At 46.0% G+C, this 24,229-nt stretch overlaps 1 long non-coding RNA gene across 1 annotated transcript, besides 1 other annotated feature; it reads right to left on the bottom strand.

The window, feature by feature from the left end:
* Nucleotides 15,547–15,756: an enhancer, noted in NCBI's record as "active region_17093". NCBI's record gives its function as "activates an Ori minimal core promoter by ATAC-STARR-seq in GM12878 lymphoblastoid cells {active_cell/tissue: GM12878}" and the evidence as "EXISTENCE:reporter gene assay evidence [ECO:0000049][PMID:35858748]".
* On the bottom strand, nt 18,676–21,979 carry LINC01963 (long intergenic non-protein coding RNA 1963). Its single transcript, NR_037701.1, has one exon. It is a non-coding gene; the product is annotated as a long intergenic non-protein coding RNA 1963 (long non-coding RNA).
* Between the last annotated feature and the right edge of the window lie 2,250 nt (nt 21,980–24,229).

Below are 24,229 nucleotides of genomic sequence, written 5' to 3'. Positions count from 1 at the left end.
GGCTTAAGCAGGGACTTGGATAACAGTTGTTATGGCTAACATTTATGAGAGTGTTCATTAGGAGAGAGGCATTACTCTAAGCACTTTTCAGACATTAACTAATTTTAACCTACAACACATCTAATAGGCGTTGCTTTTACACTTATTTTATGAGATGAGGAAACAGAGGCCTAGAAACTCTAAGCTGCTCCAGACCATATGGCGGCTGAGTTGGTGAGCCAAGGAACCCGGTTTGCCTGATTCCATGCACTTGGGGATGTATTTATCATCCCGTTTACGGTGCCCCTTTGGGCAAGTCAGCCCATCTGAATCTGTTAACAGCATGTGGTTGCTTTTAGCTCGCAAGACTGTGGCGAGGGATAAAACGAAACTTGTAAATGGAATGAATTCTTTACCTACCTCACCTAGAAAGCCAGGAATGGTCACATCCCTTTATTTCTTTCTATTTAGGTTAAAGCTACCCATAAGCAAATCGGCAGGAAGTTCAATGTCACATTTTTGTGGTCCTCCTTGTCCTTGAGACTTACAGGGTCTTAAAAAAAACATCTGCCTGGCCAGGCGCAGTGGCTCATGACTGTAGTCCCAGCACTTTGGGAGGCTGAGGCGGGCGGATCACAAGATCAGAAGTTCAAGACCAGCCTGACCAACATGGTGAAATCCCATCTCTACTAAAGATACAAAAAATTAGCCAAGAGTGGTGGTGCATGCCTATAATCCCAGCTACTTGAGAGGCTGAGGCAGGAGAATCATTTGAACCTGGGAGGCGGAGGTTGCAGATCACACCACTGCACTCCAGCATGGGCGACGGGGTGAGACTCTGTCTCAAAACACACACACACACACACACACACACACACACACACACACACACACACACACATCTACCTGGCTCCATGACCACCTGCCACTGTTCCTGTGTGCCATGCAGGGCCATGTGGGGCACTGGGCCTCTCCCAGCTAAAGCTGTTGGTTTACACTGAAGTTGACTGGAAGTAAAACCACAGGACACCATCCTCCCACAGTGGGTTCATCCTCCCACAGTGGGTTCATCCTCCCACAGTGGGTTCTTCAAGCCACCCCAAATCTAATCTAAAATATTGAGCATTGAGCCCACATTTTAAAAAAAGGGACATTTCACATAAAATCTGGATATATGGCTTCCCTAAAGAAAAATTTTTTTGAGACACGGTCTCATTCTGTCAACCAGGCTGGAGTGCAGTGGTATGATCATGACTCACTGCAGCCTCAACCTCTCAGGCTTAAGTGATCCTCCCACCTCAGGCTCCCACATAGGTGAGACTACAGGCACACACCACCACACCGGCTAATTTTTTTTAATTAATATTTTTTGTAGAGACAGGGTTTTGCCATGTTGCTCAGGCTGGTCTCAAACCCCTGGGCTCAACTGATCCACCACCTTGGACTTCCAAAGTGCTGGAACTACAGGCATGAACCACCGTGTGTGGCCTACAAAAAAAATTTTTATCTGATGATATTAAATGCATTATTCCCACATGGCTACCAAAAGCTGGCACTGAACAGCAGTTGTCTCTTCTAGAGTGGGCACAAACTAAAGCTGGCCACAGTCCTCACCACACCCCACTGCACCCTGGGCACTAAAGAAGATTACAGTTTCTGGCTGGGCGCAGTGGCGCACGCCTGTAATCCCAGCACTTCAGGAGGCCAAGGTGGGTGGATCATTTGAGGTCAGGAGTTCAAGACGAGCCTAACATGGTAAAACCCTGTCTCTACTAAAAATACAAAAATTAGCAGGGCGTGGTGGTGCACGCCTGTAGTCCCAGCTACTTGGGAGGCCGAGGCACAAGAATCACTTGAACCGTGGAGGCGGAAGTTGCAGTGAGCTGAAATTGGGCCACTGCAGTCCAGCCTGGGCGACAGAGCGAGACTCCATCTCAAAATAAATAAATAAATAATACAGTTTCTGTCTATCATCACATGTGTGCCATTGCTTTTCATTGTAGAGACCTATCTCTCTGTGTTCAAGTCTCCTGAAGTCAGACCACACACAGTCAGGCTGTGTATTTCCTTGAGGCCAGCAGCTTTACTCTACTTACCTGGCACCTTGAAAGGCCTGCCCAGTGCTCAGGGTCCACTCCTTCAGCCATACACACAGTCCTTCTCCTCTGAAGATCCACCTTTGCAAAGGCATGGTGCCACAGCAGGTTTTGGCACCCATCCTGCTGATCCTGCGGCCTCTGTGCCTCTTTTCAGTTCTGGAGAGCCTTTGAAACCTTAAGTATTCATTCTGTTTTCCAACAACACAGTTTGAGTGTGTGAATGTGCTTTTAAGGAGGCAAACCTTAAAAATGCTGGGGGTCCATTTTACCTTTGCTAAGGCTTGGGGAAACATCAACCACACCTCACTGACAAGCTGTCTTTCTAAGCAGACCATGAAGTGAAGTGGCTAAGTGTATAGATTTAGAAGCCAGACTATCTAAGCATATAAATCTGGCTTCTATCACCCACTACTTGTGTGAACTTGGAAAAGTTACTTGGTCTCCCTGTGTGCTTCATTTTCCCAAATGGGAATGCTAATCTATAGAGTTGACCCTTGAACAACATGAGTTTGAACTGTGTGGGTCCACTTCTATGCAGATTTTTTTCAACCAAACACAGTATTCACTGGATGTGAAACCTGCATATATAGAGGCTACTTTTTGAATCCACAGGTTCCATTTCTGCAGGTTCCACATGGCCTACTGTGGGACTTGAGTATGTGGCAATACACAGAGGTCCGAGAACCAATCCCCTGCACATACCAAGAGACAGCTGTATAAAGTGCTTATGTCAGTGTCTGGCACAGTTAGTGCTATTTAAGTGATGGCTATTATTCTTATGAAAAGACAAACCAAGTTTTCAGCAGGTCATCTCACTGGCCCATAGTAGACAGAAAAATTGTCTATTTTCTCTCTTAGTGCTATTGGTACAAAGTGTCAACTATGAAACATACTTACTTCTTGTCTTAGAGAGTTTCTGATTTCATAGTAGGGACTAAGGGATCCTCACCACTTTTCTACACCAGTAAATATTCATGATGATATGCTACCAGGAAATTAGGCCCAACAAAACAGCCCCTGTTTACTCTGCCTGCTCTTCAACAAAGAGGGAGATGTGTCCCACAGAGTATAGCAGCCATCTAGAACTTTTCACACATGAGGAGGCCGAAGCCTCCTCCCTTGTGTGAACACACTTCAAGTGGGCAGCCTGGCTCCAGGCCCAATTACAGCCTGTGGCTCATGCTACACAGCAGGAGATCGGGGTCTGGGCAAAGATATTCTCTCCATCCTCCCCACATCTATAGAAGGAAAAAAGAGGGATTCTGCTCTGTAGAATAAAATGCAAATGCCAACCCAAAGGATGGGATTGGTACAGCAGGGAAGCAAGGCCAACTGGACACAGTGGAGGCTGCTTTCAGGGACCTGGGTGAGCAGGATGTAGACAGGGTTTTAGGCAGCCTGGAGACATGGAATGAACAGGAGGCCTTGGCCCCAGGTCCACCTGTGCTGCTGACCAGCTGAGTAGCCTTAGGCAAGGCCTTCACTCTGCTGATCCTCAGAATCCTCAAGGAGGGGACAGGATCAGATATCCTCCACCGTCTCTTCTAGCTGTGATGCCCTTTGGCCATTGCCTGCCTCATACTTGAGTGACCATGCTTGTGATTGGTTCTGTTTGTTCCAGTGCTGTTAGAGACATACTGCAATCCTCCAAAGGAAGAACTCAGTGCTGTCAGAGGCATATTGCATCCTCCAAAGCAAGGATTTTGTCTATAACAAGATCTAGGTTCCTGTATCAGATGCTGCTTAGAATCTCCGTCCCAAATTGGGCTCAATAAAAGCTTTTTGATTCACAGTGATGGCTTCCATGCTGGGCATTCATACTTATGCATTCATTCATCCATTCTTTCAATCACTGAGCAACATTTATGAAACACTTATCAAACAGAACATGGTGTTGGCTCTGGGAAGAATGAATGAGACAACCCAGGAACATAAAATCCAGCAACTTGGCTCTGGAGAGGGGCTTCAAGATGGCTGACTAGATGCATCTGGTACTTGCCTCTTCCACAGAGGAACCAAAATAGTGCGTAGAAAATCACACTTTGAATAGATCATCTAAGAGAGAACACTGGAATTCAGCAGGGAAGTGATGGGAGGCACCAAAAGCAAAGAAAGAGAGAGAAGCGAGGCAGCCTGCTCAGCCAGGACTGGTAGGGAGGCTGGAGGCTCCTTAATGCAGGGAAAGAGTAGACAAGACACCTTCAGTGGTCCACATTCTCGTCATGGGCTTCTACAATCCTAGCCACTAGAAAGCCCCTCAACCCTCACAGGCCCTGTGACTAACATAGGGAGCTGCCTGGAGACCCTGCAATGGCATTACTCCATGGAGGGAGCTCACATTGAATCCCACAACCCTCCAAGTCCTAAGCAGCTACAGCCTGGCACCATTTTGAGAGCCTACCCTTCAACAGGCTGCATCCTGCCCTGGGGCCCAAAGTCCCTGCATCTCCACATCCTCTCTGGAGCCCCACTGACATTCCCTGCCGGTAGTGGCAGCCTCCAGGGCCAACGCAGGAACCACTAGCAATGACCATCCCCGCAATAGAGGGGGGTGCTGAGGACAAATTCCATTGCCCACAACCACCACTGTGAGTTGCTGTGGGGCCAAGGCATGAGCAAAGTGCATGCCCCCCAGACACCTACCTATGGCTACTCCCACTGAAAGCAACCCCATACTCTCCAGTAGCAAGGCCACTGCTCCACAGCCTAAGCATTTCCCTGGTGGCCTGGAGATCACCCTGCCCCCGCCTACCACAGCCAGTGCCTGCGTGCACCACTGGGGTCCTGAGAGCAAGACCACCTAGCCCAGCTTTGCCCTTCCCCAGTACCTGAGCACGAGCCTAGGAGGCTGGGAATCACTCAGCCTAGTCCACTGTTGTTAGTACCTGAGCATTCCTTCCAGGGTCTGAGGTTAGGCCCACCCGACCTGCCACTACCACCACAGTTGAAACCCACCCTCATGCACCACCTGTAATGCAGGCCTGGGACCTGGCCAGCCCAGCCTGTCACAGCCAATAACAACATCAGTTTGGACTGCTTGGGGCTCAAAGGGCTGTCCCACCACTGCTATTGCCATCATCCATACCATAACTGCTTCTCAGGGGATCAAGAACTGCCAACTCACCTAGCCCACTGCTGCCATTCCTGAGACCTGAGCAAGCCACCTCAAGGCCCAAGAATTGACCTGCCTGAACCTGCTCACACTGGTGCCAGTGTATGACACTCTGGGACTCAAGGACAGCTGTGTGCATCCCACTGCGGGCACCACTGGGTCCTGAAGACTAGCCTACCGGGCATCCCAATCCCCAGCAAAATTTCACCACAGTGTCTACTAAAAACCACACCCTAAGCCACCAAGGAAATCACAGCACCACTAATGCTATTTATAGCTAAAGAAAACATAAGAGACTATACTACTGCATGTACCCAAAAGCAAAGGCAAAGTGCCTTTCCCAGTCAATACCATAGTTACATCTTCAAGAAAAAGTCTTCCCCTACAATAGCAAATTCAAAAAATGGGAAGAGTGACTGTTACATGCAGATATCAATGTAAGGACACAGGAAATATGAAAAAGCAAGGAAATAAAAACACCTCCAAAGTAACACAATAAGTCTTCAGTAACAGATCCCAATCAAAAAGAAATTTGTGAAAGCCCAGAAAAAGAATTTTAAAAATACTGATTAAAGAAGTTCAGGAAAATACAAAAGAATACTGAAAAATAATACAAAGACATCAGAAAAACAATTCAGGATATGGATGAGAAGTTTATCAAAGATAGATATCATAATAAAGAACTAAACAGAAATTCTAAACTGAAGAACTTACTGAATGAAATACAAAATGCATTTGAAAGCTCCAACAACAGACTAGATCAAGCAGAAGAAAGGATCTCAGAACTTGAAGACAGGTCTTTTGGAAAATGCAGACAAAAATAAGAAGAACAAAAAAAGAATAAACAAAGCCTACAATGACATATGAAACACGATAAAGCAACCAAATTTTTGAATTTTTGATGTCCCAGAGGGCAAAGAGAGAATGAAAGGGCTGGAAAACCTATTTAATGAAATAATAGATAAAAACTTCCCAAGTAGGCCAGGCACAGTGGCTCACGCCTGTAATCCCAGCACTTTGGGAGGCCGAGGTGGGAGGATCACGAGGTCAGGAGTTGAAGACCAGCCTGGCCAACATAATGAAACCCCATCTCTACTAAAAATACAAAGAATTAGCCAGGTGTGGTGGCAGGTGCCTGTAATCCCAGCTACTTGGGAGGCTGAGGCAGAAGAATCGCTTGAACCCAGGAGGCAGAGGTTGCAGTGAGCGGAGATCGCGCCACTGCACTCCAGCCTGGGTGACAGTGCGAGACTCCATCTCAAAAAAAAAAAAAAAAAAAACACAACAAAACAAAACAAAAAAACGTCCCAAGTATAGCAGGAAATTTAGACATCCAGATACTGGAGGCCTAGAGATTCCCAAATAGAGACAATTCAAAAAGGTCTTCTCCACAGCACATTATAGTTAAAATGTAAAACATCAAAGGCAAAGACAGAATTCTAAAAACAGCAAGTAACCTAGTCACTAATACAGGAAACCCCCATTGGACTACAGTGGATTTCTCAGCAGAAACCTTATAGGCCAGGAGAGAATGAAATACTATATTCAAAGTGCTGAAAGAAAAATAAACAAACAAAGAAAAAAAAAAAAAAACCTGTTATCCAAGAATACTATACCCAGCAAAGTTATCCTTCAGAAACAAAAGAGTAAATATTTCACAGACAAGCAAAAGCTGAGAGAATTCATCACCACTAAATTGGCCCTAAAAGAAATGCTTAAGGGAGTCTTATACCCAGAAGTAAAAGAACAATATCTACCCTTATGAAAATACACAAAAATATAAAAGCCACTGGTAGAGGAAACGCACAAACAAGGAAAAGACCAGACTCAAATGTTACCACTACAGAAAACCACCAAACCACTTTCTTTCTCTCATTAAACAATAAGAGAAAGAAAGAACAGACCAGACACAGTGGCTTACTTACACCTGTAATCCTACCACTTTAGGAGGCCAAGGTGGGTGGATCACCTAAGGTCAGGAGCTTGAGACCAGCCTAGCCAACATGGTGAAACCCTGTCTCTACTCAAAATACAAAAATTAGCTGGGTGTGGTGGCAGGCACCTATAGTCCCAGCTACTAGGGAGGCTGAGGCAGGAGAATTGCTCCAACCTGGGAGGCGGAGATTGCAGTGAGCCAAGATGACGCCACTGCACTCCAGCCTAAGTGACAGAGTGTGACCCTGTCTCAAAATAATAATAACAATAATAATAATAATAATAATAATAATAATAATAATAATAATGGAAAGAATAAAAGACATGCAAAGCAATCAGAAATCAATTAATGAAATGAGAGGAATAAGCCTCACATATCAATAAAAACCTTGAATGTAAATGGATTAAACTTTCCACTTAAAAGATATAGACTGGCTGAATATATACAAAAAAATAAAAAAACACATAAGACATGGCCCATATATATGCCACTTACAAGAAACTTGTCTCACCTGTAAAGACACTATATAGACTGAAAGTAAAGGGATAGCAAAAGATATTCCATGCAAACAAAAACCAAAAGCAAGCAGGAGTAGCTACCTTTATATCAGGTAAACAGATTTTAAGTCAAAAATAGTAAAAAGAAAAGAAGGTCATTCTATAATGATAAAGGAATCAATTCAGCAAGAGGATATAACAATACTAAATATATATGCACTCAACACTGGAGTATCCAGATATATAAAGCAAATATTATTAGATCTAAAGGGAGACATAGATTCCAATACAATAATAATTGGGGACTTCATCTCTCAGCATTAGATAGATCATCTAGGCAGAAAATTAACAAAGAAATGTTGAATTTAAACTATACATTAGACCAATGAACCTAATAGAAATTTACAGACCATTTTATCCAACAGCTGCAGAATACATATTTTTCTCATCAGCACATAGAACATTCTCTAGGATAGACCACATGTTAGGACACAAAACAAGTCTCAATTTAAAAAAAAAAATTGAAGTCATATCTTCTCAGACCATAGTGGAATAAAACTTTGGAAACTATACAAATACATGGAAATTAAAATACCTTCTTTTGAATGACCACTGGGTTAAGAAAGAAACTTAAGGAGGAAATTAAAAACATTTCTTGAAACAAATGAAAATGGGGACATGATATACCAAAACCTATGGGATACAGAAAAAGCAGTGCTAAGAGGGAAGTTTATAGCAATAAATGTTTACATCAATAAAGTAGAAAGATTTCAAGTAAACAATCTAACAATGCATCTCAAGGAACTGAAAAAGCAAGAATAAACCAAACAAAATTTGTTGAAGGAAAGAAACGTATAAGATAATGGCAGAACTAAATGAAATAGAGACTAAAAAAAGACAAAGATCAATGAAATGAAAAGTTTTTTTAAAAGATAGATAAAATTGATAAACCACTTACTAACCCAGAAAAAAAGAGAAAAACCCAAATAAATAAAATCAGAAATGAAAAATAAGACATTATGACTGACATCATAGAAATATAAAAGATCACTAGCAACTATTATATACAGTTGTTCATAATGTGCTAGAAACAAATTGGAAAACCGAGAGGAAACAGATACATTCCTGGACACATAGAACCACTAAGATTGACTCAAGAAGAAACAGAAGGCCTGAATAGACCAATAACAAGTCAAGAAATTGAATCAGTAATAAAGTCTCCCAACAAAGAAAAGTGCAGGACTAGAAGGCTTTTCTGCCAAATTCTACCAAACTTTCAAAGAAGAACTAACACCAATTCTCCTCAAATTATTCCAAAAACTGAGGAGGAGGAGGAAATTCTTCCTAACTCATTCCATGAGGCCAACATTACCCTGCTTTCAAAACCAGATGAGGACACAACAACAAAAAAGAAAATGACAGGCTAATTGTCTCAATAAACATAGATGCAGAAGTCCTCAACAAAATATTAGCAAACCAAATCCAACAGCAAAAAAAAAAAAAAAAACCCATCATGACCAAGCAGGATTTATCTCAGGGATGCAAGAGATACACAACGCAATAAACATAATATATCATATTGACAGAATGAAAGGAAAAAACCATATCATCTCGATAGACACAGAAAAAGCATTTGATAAACTCCAACATCCCTTCCTGATAAAAAGTCTCAACAAACTAGGTATAAAAGGAACATACCTCAACATAATAAAGGCTCTATATGACAAACCCACAGTTAGCATTACGCTGAATGAGGAAATGCTGAAAGCCTCTAAGAATTCGAACAAGGATGCCTGCTTTCACCACTCCCATTCCTAGCCAGAGGAGCCAGGCAAGAGAAGGAAATAAAAGGAATCTAAATTTAAAAAATAAAAAAGAAAAGGAAAAAAATTGTCCCTTTTTACTTACGGTATTATCTTATATCTAGAAACACCTAAAGGCTCCACACACACACACACACACACACACAAACCCACACAAACTCTTATAGATCTGCTAAATAAATTCAGTAAAGTTGCAGGATGCAAAATAAACTTACAAAAAGTATTATCACTTCAGTATGCCAATAATGAGCTAGCTGAGAAAGATATCAAGGAGGCAATTCCATTTAAGTAGCTACCAAAAAATATATAAGAATAAATTTAACCAAGGAGGTGAAAGATCTCTACATGGAAAAATCATAAAAACACTGATGAAATAAATTGAAGAGGACACAAACAAATGGAAAGATATCCCATGCTTATGGATCAGAAGAATATTATTTAAATGACCATCCTACCCAAAACAATGTAGATTCAATGCAATCCTTAACAAAATATTAATACTATTTTTCAAATAAATAGAAAAACCATCTCTAAAATTAATATGGAACCAAAAAAGAGCCCAAATAACCAAAGCAATCCTGAACAAAAAGAACAAAGCTGAAGGCACCACACTATCTCACTTCAAAATATATTATAAGGCTATTGTAACCAAACCAGCATGGTATTGGTATAGAAACAGACACATAGACCAAAGCAACAGAGTAGAGAATCCAGAAATAAATCCACATATTTACAGCTAAATGATTTTTGACAAAGGCATCAAGAACATACATTGTGGAAAGAATACTCTCTTCAATAAACAGTGCTGAGAAAATTGGATATTTTCTCAGTGCAGAAACATGAAACAGTGCAGAAAAATGAAAATGGATCCCAATCTCTTCCCACATACAAAACTCGAGATGAATTAAAGACGTAAATGTAAGACACCAAACTATAAAACTACTAGACAAGAAAAATACACAAATTGGGCTCAACAAATTAAAAAGCTATCTTCTGCATTCCATATCATCTAGTGGTTAGAAAGAAAGAAAGAGGCCGGGCGCGGTGGCTCACGCCTGTAATCCCAGCACTTTGGGAGGCCGAGGCGGGCGGATCACGAGGTCAGGAGATCGAGACCATCTTGGCTAACACGGTGAAACCCCGTCTCTACTAAAAATACAAAAAATTAGCCGGGCGTGGTAGCGGGCGCCTGTAGTCCCAGCTACTCGGGAGGCTGAGGCAGGAGAATGGCGTGAACCCGGGAGGCGGAGCTTGCAGTGAGCCGAGATCGCGCCACTGCACTCCAGCCTGGGCGACAGAGCGAGACTCCGTCTCAAAAAAAAAAAAAAAAAAAAAAGAAAGAAAGAAAGAAAGAAAGAAAGAAAGAAAGAAAGAAAGAAAGAAAGAAAGAAAAAGCTTCTGCATAGCAAAGGAAACAACAGAGTGAAGAGATGACTTAATAAATACTCAAGGTGATGGATACCCTAAATATCCTGACTTGATCATTCTACACTCTATGCATGTAACAAAACAAGTGTACCCCATAAATACATAAAATATCATATCAATTTTAAAAACCAACAACTTTGCATAGGGCATGACGCATCACCTCTGTGAACTGATGAGTCCAAGCATCTTGCCATGCATCTGCTTTAAGAACACATGGCGCTCCCGTCTCCCTCTCCCTCTCCCGTCTCCCTCTCCCTCTCCCGTCTCCCTCTCCCTCTCCCGTCTCCCTCTCCCTCTCCCGTCTCCCTCTCCCTCTCCCGTCTCCCTCTCCCTCTCCCGTCTCCCTCTCCCTCTCCCGTCTCCCTCTCCCGTCTCCCTCTCCCTCTCCCGTCTCCCTCTCCCTCTCCCGTCTCCCTCTCCCTCTCCCGTCTCCCTCTCCCTCTCCCGTCTCCCTCTCCCTCTCATGCCGAGCCAAAGCTGGACGGTACTGCTGCCATCTCGGCTCACTGCAACCTCCCTGCCTGATTCTCCTGCCTCAGCCTGCCGAGTGCCTGCGATTGCAGGCGCGCGCCGCCACGCCTGACTGGTTTTCGTTTTTTTTTTGGTGGAGATGGGGTTTCGCTGTGTTGGCCGGGCTGGTCTCCAGCTCCTAACCGCGAGTGATCCGCCAGCCTCGGCCTCCCGAGGTGCCGGGATTGCAGATGGAGTCTCGTTCACTCAGTGCTCAATGGTGCCCAGGCTGGAGTGCAGTGGCGTGATCTCGGCTCGCTACAACCACCTCCCAGCCGCCTGCCTTGGCCTCCCAAAGAGCCGAGATTGCAGCCTCTGCCCGGCCGCCACCCCGTCTGGGAAGTGAGGAGCGTCTCTGCTTGGCCACCCATCGTCTGGGATATGAGGAGCCCCTCTGCCTGGCTGCCCAGTGTGGAAAGTGAGGAGCGTCTCTGCCCGGCCGCCATCCCATCTAGGAAGCGAGAAGCGCCTCTTCCCCGCCGCCATCCCATCTAGGAAGTGAGGAGCGTCTCTGCCCGGCTGCCCATCGTCTGAGATGTGGGGAGCACCTCTGCCCCACCGCCCTGTCTGGGATGTGAGGAGCGCCTCTGCTGGGCCGCAACCCTGTCTGGGAGGTGAGGAGTGTCTCTGCCCGGCCGCTCCGTCTGAGAAGTGAGGAAACCCTCTGCCTGGCAACCGCCCCGTCTGAGAAGTGAGGAGCCCCTCCGTCTGGCAACCACCCCGTCTGGGAAGTGAGGAGCGTCTCCGCCCGGCAGCCACCCCGTCCGGGAGGGAGGTGGGGGGGGTCAGCCCCCCGCCCGGCCAGCCGCCCCGTCCGGGAGGTGAGGGGCTCCTCTGCCCGGCCGCCCCTACTGGGAAGTGAGGAGCCCCTCTGCCCGGCCAGCCGCCCCGTCCGGGAGGGAGGCGGGGGGGGGGGGGTTGGCCAGCCGCCCCGTCCGGGAGGTGAGGGGCGCCTCTGCCCGGCCGCCCCTACTGGGAAGTGAGGAGCCCCTCTGCCCGGCCAGCCGCCCCGCCCAGGAGGGAGGTGGGGGGGTCAGCCCCCCGCCTGGCCAGCCGCCCCATCCGGGAGGGAGGTGGGGGGGTCAGCCCCCCGCCCGGCCAGCCGCCCCGTCCGGGAGGGAGGTGGGGGGGGTCAGCCCCCCGCCCGGCCAGCCGCCCCGTCCGGGAGGGAAGTGGGGGGATCAGCCCCCTGCCTGGCCAGCCGCCCCGTCCGGGAGGTGAGGGGCGCCTCTGCCCGGCCGCCCCTACTGGGAAGTGAGGACCCCTCTGCCCGGCCAGCCGCCCCGTCCGGGAGGGAGGTGGGGGGGGTCAGCCCCCCGCCCGGCCAGCCGCCCCGTCCGGGAGGGAGGTGGGGGGATCAGCCCCCTTCCTGGCCAGCCGCCCCGTCCGGGAGGTGAGGGGCGCCTCTGCCCGGCCGCCCCTACTGGGAAGTGAGGACCCCTCTGCCCGGCCAGCCGCCCCGTCCGGGAGGGAGGTGGGGGGGTCAGCCCCCCTTCCGGCCGGCCGCCCCGTCCGGGAGGTGAGGGGCGCCTCTGCCCGGCCGCCCCTACTGGGAAGTGAGGACCCCTCTGCCCGGCCAGCCGCCCCGTCCGGGAGGGAGGTGGGGGGGACAGCCCCCCGCCCGGCCAGCCGCCCTATCCAGGAGGTGAGGGGCGCCTCTGCCCGGCCGCCCCTACTGGGAAGTGAGGAGCCCCTCTGCCCGGCCACGACCCCGTCTGGGAGGTGTGCCCAGCGGCTCATTGGTGATGGGCCATGATGACAATGGCGGTTTTGTGGAATAGAAAGGCGGGAAGGGTGGGGAAAGAATTGAGAAATCGGATGGTTACCGGGTCTGTGTGGATGGAAGTAGACATGGGAGACTTTTCATTTTGTTCTGTACTAGGAAAAATTCTTCTGCCTTGGGATCCTGTTGATCTGTGACCTTATCCCCAACCCTGTGCTCTCTGAAACATGTGCTGTGTCCACTCAGGGTTAAATGGATTAAGGGCGGTGCAAGATGTGCTTTGTTAAACAGATGCTTGAAGGCAGCATGCTCGTTAAGAGTCATCACCACTCCCTAATCTTTAAGTACCCAGGGACACAAACACTGTGGAAGGCCGCAGGGTCCTCTGCCTAGGAAAACCGGAGACCTTTGTTCACTTGTTTATCTGCTGACCTTCCCTCCACTATTGTCCTATGACCCTGCCAAATCCCCCTCTGCGAGAAACACCCAAGAATGATCAATAAAAATAAAAAATAAAAAAAAAAAAAAAAAAAAAAAAAAAAGAACACATGGCATGGGCTGGGCGCGGTGGCTCACACTTGTAATCCTAGCACTTTGGGAGGCCTAGGTGGGTGGATCACGAGGTCAGGAGTTCGAGACCATCCTGGCCAAGGCGGTGAAACCCCATCTCTACTAAAAATACAAAAAAACTAGCCGGGTGTGGTGGCGAGCACCTGTAATCCCAGCTACTCAGGAGGCTAGGGCAGAGAATTGCTTGAACCCAGGAGGCGGATGTTGCTGTGAGCCGAGACTGTGCCATTACACTCCAGCCTGGGGGACAGAGCGAGACTCCATCTCAAAAAAAAAAAAAAGAATACATGCCATGTGTTACCCTAACTTCATGAGTCAGGTGGGTGCCAGGGGTACCAGAGAGCCAGGCTATCTCTAGCACCATCTAAGAAACTGTGATATCAAGACCTCTTCTTCCAGCCTGAGCCACAATCTTTTTCCACACCTTCCCTCCTTTCTTAAGGACCAATGAAAGGTATAAAGTCAAGGTATTTCCAGAGATTTTCCCAAACTGCACATATCCTGGGCTCTGGCATCAGGAGTCTCTTCTTTTCCCAGAAGCCTGGACAACCTCCCACTGACAGAGCTGATAATAAATGAGTTCATTATCAGGCTGCTGGGGCCCATGACAGCCCATCTGCTGGCATGATTAATTAAAACTTTGACTGGCGATGGGGGTGCCATCTCAGGGTCAGAAAGCAATTAATTGGAGCATCATCCAGGCCATTATTTCTGTTGGATTCTAGAATGACCAATGCCAGAGAGCAAGGTCTATGTGAGTCAGTCTCAGTCTCATTGCCTTACTCTCCTTTTTTTGTTTGCTTGTTTGTTTTTAAGACAGAGCCTCACTCTGTTGCCCAGGCTGGAGTGCAGTGGAACGGTCACAGCTCACTGCAGTCTCGACCTCCTGGGCTCAATCAATCCTCCCATCTCAGCCTCCTGGGTAGTTGGGACTACAACTGTGCACCACCATTGTGCAGCTCATTTTCGTATTATTATTATTATCGTAGAGACAGGATTTCGCCATGTTGTCCAGGCTGGTCTCCAACTCCTGGGCTCAAGCAATCCGCCTACCTTGGCTTCCCAAAGTGCTGGGATTATAGGGATGCCATTTTTCACAGAAATAGAAAAACCATTTCTAAAATTAATATGGAACCGAAGAAGAGCCCAAATCACCACCATACCTGGCCTCCTTACTCTCCTTTATATTTCTTGCAGTCTCTTCCCCAGGCAAGCCCACCCTAATGAAGCAGAGACAGATTGGTGGGAATCGGATCCTCAAATCCTCTAAGTGGAGCAGGAGGATCATCCTCTTAGGGCTTTCTACTCCTCCCAGGAGTGGGGAGTATTGGGATTCAAAAGAGGGTTTCACTCTGTTTTCTTGACTCTTGTGCTCAAGCACAGCAAACTCATCATTTTACATCCTTGTATTTGTCAGGTTTCCCCAGAAATAGGATATATATATATATAAAATAGGAACTGGCTCACATGATTATGGAGGCTGAGAAGACCCATGATATGCTATCTGCAAGTTGGAGAACCAGGAAAGCCAGTGGTGTAATTATCTGAAAGCCTGAGAACCAGGAGTGCCAATGTCTGAGGGCAGAAGATGGATGCCTCAGCTCCAAGAGGGAGAACAAATTCACCCTTCCTCTGCCTTTTGTTCTGTCCAGGCTCTCAACAGATTGGATGATGGCCACCCACATGGGTGAGGGTAAATCTTCATTACTACTGATACAAATGCTCATCTCTTCCAGACACACCCTCACAGTTACTCTGAGAAGGTTTTATAGCTATCCGGACATCACTTAACCCAGTCAATAATTATGGATATATAATTAACCATCACAGTCTTAATATAGCGATGTTCCCATCACTCTCTGTGTTCTGCTAATGAGCTGCAAAGCTGCTAGGTAAGGCCTCAGGCCCAAGCAGAGATCTTCAGCCCATAGAACCAGAAGCCCTGCATTTGGGGAAAAGCTAGGGGATTTCCTGGCCATAAATAAGGTTGTGGTTTTGGTCCCCAACTGGCTATGATCATGGTTTGCTTATCTCTGTAGTGAGAACACAGAGGGGAAAGAAGGACTCAGACTCTGGGAATAAACCCTGCCACCTCTGGAAACACACAGGAGAGGCACCACACTTCTTTTTTGTGCAGCCCACAGCTCCTGGCACATCACAGTGAGTTCCAACGTGGATGTCTCACTGGAATGAAGTCACAGGAAATGATTAGGTACTTTACTGTGCCCTCACAACCCAGAAAAGCTGTCAGGTTTGCCTTTGGTCAAACAAATTCTGTGTCTGTTTCTATATCACCTCTTCTGACTGTCTCAGTCCCCATGCTCTTCTACTACTCTTGAAACAAAACTTAATCCGGATCCATCATTCACCCCAAGATATAAATAGCTGATTACAGTTAAACTATTACTCTTATTAGGAGCATCGCATCTTCTCCTTTTCTAAGACAGCATCTCCCCCTGTTGACCAGGCTGGAGTGCAGTGGTGCAATCTCAGCTCATAGCAGCCTTGACCTCCAGGGCTCAAGTGATGATGCTCCCACCTCAGCCTCCTGAGTAGCTGGGACTACAGGTGCACACCCCACATGCCTGGTTAATTTTTCTATTTTTTGTAGAGATGGGTTTTGCTGTGTTGCCAAGGCTGGTCTCAAACTTCTGGGCTCAAGCAATCTGCCTGCCTTGGCCTCCCAAAGTGCTGGGATTACAGGCATTAGCCCCCAAACGTGGCCAAGGAGCATCTCCATTTTAACAAGGATCACAGCCTTGAGCTATGGGAATGAGATAGGTGCATTTTTAGAACAATGAGTGAAGGGAGCTTTGCAGTCTTTGGGACCTCCTAGAAATGACCTTTTGTACTATCATGTTAGCCAGTCCTCTTTTTCTGTATCCCCAATATTACCCCTTATTGAAGTTAGCATGATTTCACCATGTTATCACCAGGAAGAAAGTGAGGTGCAGCATTCCTCATCTGGCTGGGCTTGTCACATGAGACTCATAATCATAGGAATAAAGATGGAGAAGTCTTGGATTAAGTAGGACCTTGAATTAACTCATGTGCATATTCTAGTTAGGCTTTTGTGCTTCTGATAGGTGATTGTGCTTTTTGGTACCATGAAGGAAAGAGGAAATGACTCAGAGGCAAAAGAGGAGGAGTCTGGCTGCAGGAGTATGGCACAAGTATAGCTAAGAGAGGAGAGGCCAGGCAGGACATTGGGGCCATCCCTGTAGGACACTGACTCACACCAAGAGATGGCTAAAGAGGTCAAGTTCAAGGGAGACTAAAGGAAGACCTTCTGACTTGTCCCCTCGAGCCCTGAGCTGTATAGAGTCCATTTGCCTCCAAGCTATACAGGAAGGAGCATCCAGACAGCCTTTCTGCCAGTCTCACTCCACACAGATATGTAGAGCTACATATTAGCAAGAGTAGGAGGGAAACACCAGGACACGGTTCCTAAACTTGGCTGTACACTGGAATCAGCTGGGGATATTTCAGCGCTATTTATTGTTGCCTGGCTCCTACATTCTGATTTAATTAGCAGGGCCTGTGACCTGGGTGCTAGTTTCCACAGGTCCTCAGGTGAGGTGAATGTGCAGCAAAGATTACATCAGGAGCAGGTCTGAAGCCCTGCATGCGCCTGCCAGTGGCCAGCTTCTGTGATGCTTACCCCACTTCTCACAAAGCATGGCTTCTGGGGACAGGACAGAGTTGCAGGATGCTCAGTCAGTGCTCCTTGAGTGCATGAAGGTGGGGGCCAGCACGCCTGCAGCCCTGGGAAGACAGCGCTTACTTTGTTTTCCTTCTCCATAGGGCACACAGGCAAAGATGACACAAGGTGAGAGCTTTGCGGAAGGAGGCTGCAAAGAATGGGAGGTAGCAAACTGCAAGCACTTTCCTGAAAAGGGGGAAATGGTCAGAGGGGGACGTGGCTGAGGCAGGACAGGTGTATCATGGTGGAGCAGTGAGTAGGGCAGGTGGCTTGCTCTGAGAGGAGAGGAGAGAGCTGGGGTGGGGTGGGGGACAAGCTGACCCAGCCTGACAAGTGGGCTGAGGGAGCTTATGGGCACATGCTGTTGATACTGGGGCACCTTTTCCCAAGAATCTCAGGACAGGGCTCTCCACTCTCTTGGGGCTGTCCTGGATAGTACCTCATTCTCTCCCAAGCGATGTCAACTGCGTCTGAATTGTTCTCCTTGCATCCTGCCTCTTCAGTGCCTCTCCATCCTATTTGCACATTGCTGTCAGAATAATGCTGCTGAAGTGCCCATCTGACTGTATCTTTCTTCAAAAACAGGGTTTCTCCCACCATAACTGCCCTAACCTATCTTTGTCATCTAACTGCTCACCATTTTCCATCATGCACCTGACCTCACAGCAAACCAAACCACTTACCCTTTCCTGCATCTGGTCTGAACTCTGCTGTGTCCTCTATTTGAACGTCCTGGTCCTTTCCTCTTCATTAAATTCCTGCTCCATTTGTGGTTCATCTTAAATGCCACCAACTCCAGAAAGCTTCCCGTTACCAAGACTAAAATGAGTATCTTCTCAGTGGCTCTGAAACTCTTCTCAGCTCTCTTTTATAGCCCCTCTCATCTTGTAGATTCTGGCTGTTTGTGACCTTCTCTCCCTACTGGACCATGAACTTCTGGAGGACAACGAATGTGTGTTCTTCAAACTCTAATCTTCCAGAGTGCCCAGCAGAGCTCTGGATATAGCAGGTGCTCAATACATTATTTATTAAGCGGAATTTTACAGTCAAGAAACCTAGGACACATGTCAGAGAATGAGTAGGCACATACCTGCTTGTGGGGCAGCTGGAATATCAATAGAGAGGCATCTCTTCCTGCTAGGCATGATTTTGGGTAAGATCCCTGTGGCCCACATGATGCCCATGAGGACAAACATAAAAAGACAAGGCTGCATGCCTGGGACCCAGTGTTGTGCTGAACCCCTATTAACTTCAATAGGGAAGGCATAAGGTTCAAGACGCCAAAGAGACCCAGAGCCAGCAAAAGAGACGTGGGGTTTTATTGAGGGCTTACATACAGGGGAGGGAGTCCAGAGGTGGCGGGCTGGATAGAATTGTCTTACATACAGAAATGGTCCTGTGGTGTTGGGCTGGACAACATATCCGCATGGCCCGGTGGTGGCAGGCTGGGCAGGAAAACCACAACTGCCTGCAAACATCATGCAGTTTATACAGCATTTTCACTTAACCCCTTTCCCTAATGAGCGACACCTGGCAACTGTCATTTAACCCAAAACTTAAGGCCTCAATCCTCTCTACAGCCTGGGTTTCATGGGATGGGCCAGGGGCTCAGATGTCTATTATAGATAAGAAACGAATCTCCGATTGGCCACTCCCGGATTTTCTAGCTCGAAACACACATTCAGGAGCATCTGCCATATAGGGTCATTATAAAGGTGTGCTTAAGTTATTGCTATCAGGTGCATTTACCCTACACCGGGTAAGACACTGACCACATGGACTCTTTCTTCATAATGTGCAAGAATTCATGAATAAAAGGACACAAAGACATACAATATCTAATAACAGTGAACATTTATAGAATACTTGCAGCTTGTTTCATATTCACATTCTCAATAAATGCAGACAGATGATGTCTTCACAATTTAGTAGTCTGACCCTTTCCACCTATATAACATGGACAAATGTTTATCACCTCCTAACACAGCAAGAACATCTAGCACACATATCCGCACACACACACTTATAGAAAGAAGGGGACTAAAATGATTGAGTCCCATATTTCAGGTGCTGTTCTAGGCATCTGACAGATATAAAACACACTCCCCAAAGTCCTGCTCATGTGTCTGTGTCTAGTTCAATCCCCTCCCTCCCCTTTTACCCTTGCCTTACCACCCCTTGTACCACATGTATCTTCCTTTTAACTCCACACATTTATTCTCTGGAGATATAATAATCTCAGTGGCTGTCATGGGTTGAATTATGATCCCCCAAAAAGCTGTGTTGAAGTCCCAACCCTCAGTACTACTGAATGTGACCTTACTAGGAAATACAGTCTTTCCTAATGTAATTGGTTGATAAGCTCAGATGAGTGGGGTGGGCTCCTTATACGACTGGTGTCTTATAAGAAGATGCCCTAGGAAAGCAATACAGTGGCCTAGGAAGGGAATGTGTGCGTGTATGCATGTGCACTGGACACTGGGATTATGCCTTGTGTGTGGAATAACAATGTATATGTGTATGTGTGTGAGAGAGGGTTTGAGTCTGTGTGCCCATGCATTATGCATGAGAAGCCAAGGGATGATTTTTGCCCATTTACCATCACACACATGTATACTCTTCAGTCCTGAAATTCTGAGTGTCCTCTCTGCCTGGACCATTAATTAGAATCATGTATTTCCCCTGCCTCCCTTTGCCAGTGGGCAGAAGGCAGTTTCTGAGCAGTGATTAAGCCTCTATCAGGACACTAATGCAAGTGGCCCATAAAAGGCATCTAACCCTGACACTGTTGGAGGATCCAGGACCCAGGGAGTTGGAAAGAGGGAAGGAAAATCTTTAAAAGAGGGAGCCAGGTGAAGCGACACACTGCAATGTGACTGACCTGCTGAGATTCCAAGACCTGAAACACAAACATACATGTGCACGCACACCTCCTCCCATCTAGAACCCAACTGTTTTTGACTTCTGTTCTCTTAGCGGGCTTCCCATTCCTCCTATGCCCCCAACATTATCTGAGAGGCAGCTGTCTGTTTTGTAGGAGAAAAGAGATAGTCTGTTTGAGTGATGCACACTGGATCACAGAGCAAGTTATGGACAAAGATGGAACTGTCTCTGAGTGTCATTACTTAACTTGCTAATCCACATAGGGCTGGGGGTATCCACTCATAAAAAGCAGGGCAGGACATTTTAAAGCCAGACAGGGGCTGTGTAGAGAAGGAAGAAAAATAGAATTGCAGGGACTGATAATGGAAGTATTTACTGTACACTTACTATACACCAAACATTTTATGTGGTTCATGCTCATTTAATCCTGACAGCCCTGAAAGTTAGGTTAACATAAACCCTATTTGACAGGTGCAGAAACTGAGACTGAGAATAGTCAAGCAACTTGGCTGAGGTCACAAAGCCAGGATATAGTGGCAGGTTTTGAAAGAGGCAGTTTGATTCCAGGCTCGGCTCTGATAATATTAAGCGGGCATTAAAAAGCAGGCTTCTGGGAGATGGAAAAGGAGTGGTGGAATCATCAAATGGCATGGATGTTGTACATAACTGAAGCCCTGGATTACAGAATTAAAATTCCATGTCTGTACTCCTCCCTCCCGCTCCAGCTCCACAGTTGGCGTGGGCCAGCCCAAGGCTACTGGTGGTGGGAGGAATAGCTTCATGTCCTCAAAGCACTCACCTAAATTCTGGTGTAGGGAGAGCTTAAAGTCTGTGGAAGAGACCCAGCATGCCTTTCCAAGTAGGTCCTGGGTTAGAAAGATCTGGGAGGCCTGTGTGTTAAAAGAGATGGCAGGAAATGATTCAGCTCTATATCTGTAAAATCTCTGACAATGACAGGATGTGAGGAATGACAGGAGGATCAGGAGGGCTGGGCGGGGGTGACTGAAATGTACTGACCCTGGCTGCAAACTAAAAATAAAATCCTAAGTCCCCTCCACCAACTGAATAGAAACGCTCTTGGCAAAGAGGACCCCAGAAAAACCTTAGAAACTGAGTTCCCAGCCATGACAGGACAAGAGGTCAGACACACCTCATTATACTCCCCTCCCTTTTATGGTTTAGACACAACCAACCAGCATTAATGTCAAAATAGAGGTCATAAGACTGACCAAACACACTCTTTGTGGCAACAAGATACCAAATTACAAACAGGACCTAAGGCCATGCCAAACAAGGGTTAAGTCATGCAGCCCTACACTTAAAAGAATAAACTATGTTCTAACTGCCACAAGTTTTCCTTTTCTCTAGCAGCTAAATAAGCACTGGCCTCTAAATAAACAATACTAAAACACTTGCAGCTCCACCAGATGCTGACTAACTGAACTCCACCAGCCATAACTACAGCTTTGATTGGACAAGAGTGATTTCGGTAATTTTCTCCTGGTAAGGAGCCCACCGACCATGACTGGTTCTAGCGGGTTTACAGAGATTGCATACTTGAGTGCCTTCATGTCCTGAATAGACCTTTTGATGTATAGGGCCTGATTGCAATATTTAAATATTAAGTCTCCACCCCAAGGTGAACATGTGTCATATGTAAGATGCATGTTTAATATGCATGCATCAGGACCACTTTCATTAATATTCATAGCTCCTCCTGTAACCTGTTGAATATGTGTTAAGCCAACCCATTCAGCATAAAAGCATAAAACTCCTACCCCAACCCCTCCTCCTTGGAGGTGCCTGTCTCTGGGCTTCTGCTGGAGGAGGCTGTGCTTCCTGGCCTGCAGGATGGCCACCTGGCAGGCTGTCACCCTTAAGAAATAGTGTCTCCATTTTTCTAAATTTGTATCTTATGATTTTTTTTTTAAAGTTAACGTATCTGGCAAAGATGGGATTCTGAAGCAGCCCCTGAATTCCTTTTCCTGTGTCACCCAGGACACCAGGTACAGCCAAGGTCCCTTTGAAAAAGTCCAGTTGTTCCTGACTATGCTGGGAAAGGATCTGGGTAAGTGCTATCAAAATCCAAGATCTCCCACTTTTAGGTTGCAGACTTGATTTCTTCTTTTAGGCCTCCTCCATCTGTGGAACTCCGGAGGAGACCCTCCTGCTGGCCTTGGGTTTGGGAGGGCATTCCTAGTTCTTCTCAGTCCTTTCTGTTCTCCTCCCTGGACCCCGGAGGGAACATCTCTCCTAGCCTTGGGTTTGGAGGAGGCCTTCCTGATTCCCTCCATCCAAGGGCCCTGGAGAAAATGCATTTGTGGGCTCCGGGCTTATGGAGAGGCATTCAGGTTGGATTCAACTGGTTCATAAGGTTTGTGGGGATGCTCACACTAAGGGCACTGGAAGAGATATCTTCATAAAGTCAGTGCAATAGGTAACTTACCCACTAGGGGCAGGAACTCCTGTAGAAGTTCAAAGGCATGCCAGGTTTTCCAGCACTTCAGCTAGCTGCATATTGTGGCCTGTTCTTGTGCACATTTTAAAACTGAACGGGCAAATTACAGCAAGGAAAATTCAGAGCTCAAATGCCCAACCTGCAACTATACAATTAAAATGTAGAGTTTTCTAAAGCTATCTCTTTTTTGTTTTCGGCCTGCTTTGAATTTGCTGTTATTAAGCTACTGCTGTTAAGATAAAACTCATTGTTTATGATACTACTAATTCAAGGCTACTTGGAGCTTTCTTTACAGTTCAGCCAATTGTAGCTAAAATGTAAACACTGAAAACTCATTTGAAACTTCAGGAAAAAAAAAAGGGGTAAAAGGTTTTTAAAAATAAAACTGCCATGAAAACTACTTTTCCCAAGACTTTGGTCCATAGCCTTCATTGGATTACCTACTGGGACAAATAAAGTTTAGCCATGTGAACAGGTCCCAATTTTGTCAGAAATAATTTGGATCCAGCTGTCTTTTGTTAAGTGGTGAGTCTGTATTACCATCTCATGGCTAAGGTTCCAGAGTAAAAGCTGTAAGATCTTTGTGTGTATGTGTTTAAATGTTTGTATATGAACATGTATTATGTTGTGTTGTATCTAGCATGGTACCAAACTGGTTTATAAGTAAATTATACTCATAAATTAAGTAAGTCCAAATACTTTTCAGATTCATGTGAACTTAGTAATCTGGTAAATAAAATGGTTTTAAAATTATTGGTAAAATAAAACTAGAAATGTCTTCAGAATTGTCAGCATACATTTTTTTTTTAGTCTGGGTTTACTGATTATTTTATATTTGCCTCCGCTAGGTGTTTTAAGGTATCAGGATTTGGCACAAAAGATTATAAGACTATAAACCCAGTCAAAAAGAGAATGATCTTTGTGTGAATTTTTTGACAAATAAGACTAATTTAATATTGTTGGTTCAATGAAAACAGCTAAGTTGTTAGCTGTTTTGTTAGCTTCTGAGTTGTTGGCAAAAATATCCACATGTTTAAGGTTCTGACTTAAATGAACATCTGATATTCACAGGCTACAAAAATGGTTAACAGGTCATACAGGTTACTAAACAGCTGATGACTCGTCACATAGAACTTACAGGTAAGTCACTGTTGTAACCTTGCTTTTTGGCTCTTCTGTTGCTCAAAAGGTTTTTAAGGGTTAATGAGTGCCTGTTCACCTCCATCCTCATCTGGCCTAGAATGTTTAATTGGCTCCAAGTCCCTTGGCCATAAGGATCCCACCAAAGAACAGAATGAACCTGCAGCAGGTAGCCACACCACCCCGGCAAAGATATGGGAAAAAATAAATGTTTGGTCACCAATGTCATCTCTGGCACATCTTGGCTAAAAGGGGAGAATGTAAACTCAGCCTCCCAAAGTGCTGGGATTACAGACATGAGCTACCATGCTTGGCCAGAAACACGTTTCTAAAAATTGTGACGTGATTCTCATCTTTAAAGTGCTGAT

Source organism: Homo sapiens, chromosome 2 (assembly GCF_000001405.40).
Source record: "Homo sapiens chromosome 2, GRCh38.p14 Primary Assembly".
In the NCBI taxonomy this organism is placed as follows: Eukaryota; Metazoa; Chordata; class Mammalia; order Primates; family Hominidae; genus Homo; species Homo sapiens.
This window is presented reverse-complemented; position numbering and strand designations above follow the sequence as displayed.